Source organism: Homo sapiens, chromosome 8 (genome assembly GCF_000001405.40).
Source record: "Homo sapiens chromosome 8, GRCh38.p14 Primary Assembly".
NCBI classification, from domain to species: domain Eukaryota; kingdom Metazoa; phylum Chordata; class Mammalia; order Primates; family Hominidae; genus Homo; species Homo sapiens.
This window is the reverse complement of record NC_000008.11, coordinates 30,056,680-30,058,526: the sequence shown is the minus strand read 5'-3', so window position 1 is coordinate 30,058,526 and position 1,847 is coordinate 30,056,680. Positions and strand designations below refer to the sequence as shown.

At 44.9% G+C, this 1,847-nt stretch overlaps 1 annotated feature.

The window, feature by feature from the left end:
- Nucleotides 388-1,587: an enhancer, noted in NCBI's record as "MED14-independent group 3 enhancer chr8:29914456-29915655 (GRCh37/hg19 assembly coordinates)". NCBI's record gives its function as "activates an origin of replication core promoter dependent on BRD2, BRD4, P300/CBP and CDK7 cofactors, and independent of MED14, by STARR-seq in HCT116 cells {active_cell/tissue: HCT116}" and the evidence as "EXISTENCE:reporter gene assay evidence [ECO:0000049][PMID:35650434]".

Below are 1,847 nucleotides of genomic sequence, written 5' to 3'. Positions count from 1 at the left end.
CAACATTGGGAATCACATTCAATGTGGGATTTGGAGGGGACAAACATCCAAACCATAACAGGGTTACTGCAGATGAAATTACGATGAGGTTATACTGGAGTAGAGTGAACACCAATGATTCATGTCATTATAAAATGAGGAAATTTGGACACAGACACACAAACAGAAATAATCATGTAATGTCTGGAGTTCTGCCAAAAGCCAATATATGCCAAAGATTACCAGCAAACCACCAGAAGCTGAGAGTCAGGCCTGGAACAGATCCTTCCTCAGCACATACAGAGGGAGCATGGCCCTGCTACCACCTGGATATCAGACTCACAGCCTCTAGAACCGTGAGATAGTAAGTTCTGCCTTTCTGGAGGGATTACAGAGATTAATGCCACCATCAAGGACTTGAAGGATATAGGGCTGGTGCTTCCTACCACATCCCCATTCAACTCGCCTATTTGGCCTGTGCCGAAAACGGATAGAGAGTAATAATAGGTTGTCATAAACTTACCCAGATGGTGACTTCAATTGCAACTGCTGTTCCAGATGTAGTTTCATCACTTGGGTACATGAACATATCTGGTAGTTGAAACACAAGTGCTCTGGCAAATGCTTTTCCTCCATACCTGTTAGTACACACCATCAGAAGCAGCTTGCTTTCAGCTGGCAGGGCCAGCAATACACCTTCACTTTTCAGTCCTATGTCATAATTTAGTCTGCAAGGACCTTGGTTACCTTTCCCTTCCACAAGACTTCACACTGGTCCATGACATTTATTATATTAAGCTGATTGGATCTGATGAGCAAGAAGAGCAACTACCAAGAAGTAGCAACTACTGTAGATGTATTGGTAAGGCATTTGTATGTTAGAGGGTGGGAAACAAATCTGACAAAGATTCAGGGGCTTTCTACCTCAGGGAAATTTCTAGGAGTCCAGTAGTATGGGACATGTTGAAATATCTTTCTAAGGCCAAGGATAAATCGTTACATCTGGCTCCAGATGAAAAAAATGATGCAATACCTAGTGGATCTTGCGGGCAACATATTCCTTATGTGGTATGCAACTCTAGTCCATTTACTGACTGATCGCAAAGCTGCTAGTTTTAACAGGAGCCTAGAACAAAAGAAGGCTCTGTGATAGGTCCAGGTTATTGGGCAAGCTCAAGAGTCATTTTAATATTCATTTTTTTTTCTTTTTTCAGAATAGTCTTGCTCTGTTGCCCAGGCTTTAGTGCAGTGGTGTGATCTTGGCTCACTGCAAACTCTGCCTCCTGGGTTCAAGTGATTCACCTGCCTCAGTCTCCAGGGTAGCTAGGATTACAGGTGCCCATCACCATGCCTGGCTAATTTTTGTATTTTTAGTAGAGACGGGGTTTCACCATGTTGGCCAGGCTGGTCATGAACGCCTGAATTCAAGTGATCCGCCCGTCTTGGCCTCCCAAAGTGCTGGGATTACAGGCATGAGCCACCGCGCCTGGCCAGCAACCTAATTTTCCCTTGATAATTAGGATGAATTACCTGTTAGAGTGGCCCCTTACTTTGTCCATTTGTTCAGTAGCATGAGGAGCCCAAACTGTCCAAGGACAGTCTCAGGTTTCCAATTCATCGTGACAGTGTTTCCTGGTGGAAGCATTCCTTCCTTGTGCACTGGAACTTCCAAATCCACTATATCAGCACCACTTGTACACCTTCTCAGAGGCTCTTAACTGCCTTCTCCTTTCACGTGGTTGGTGTCACACCCACACCAGGTCACCCCTCCACTTTGAGATTTGAATAAGACGACACATTGCAAGGTGTGGAATATGGTTTCCTGTGTGGCTGCCGGGAGCCCAGATGGTGCAACTCAGTTGTTTAGG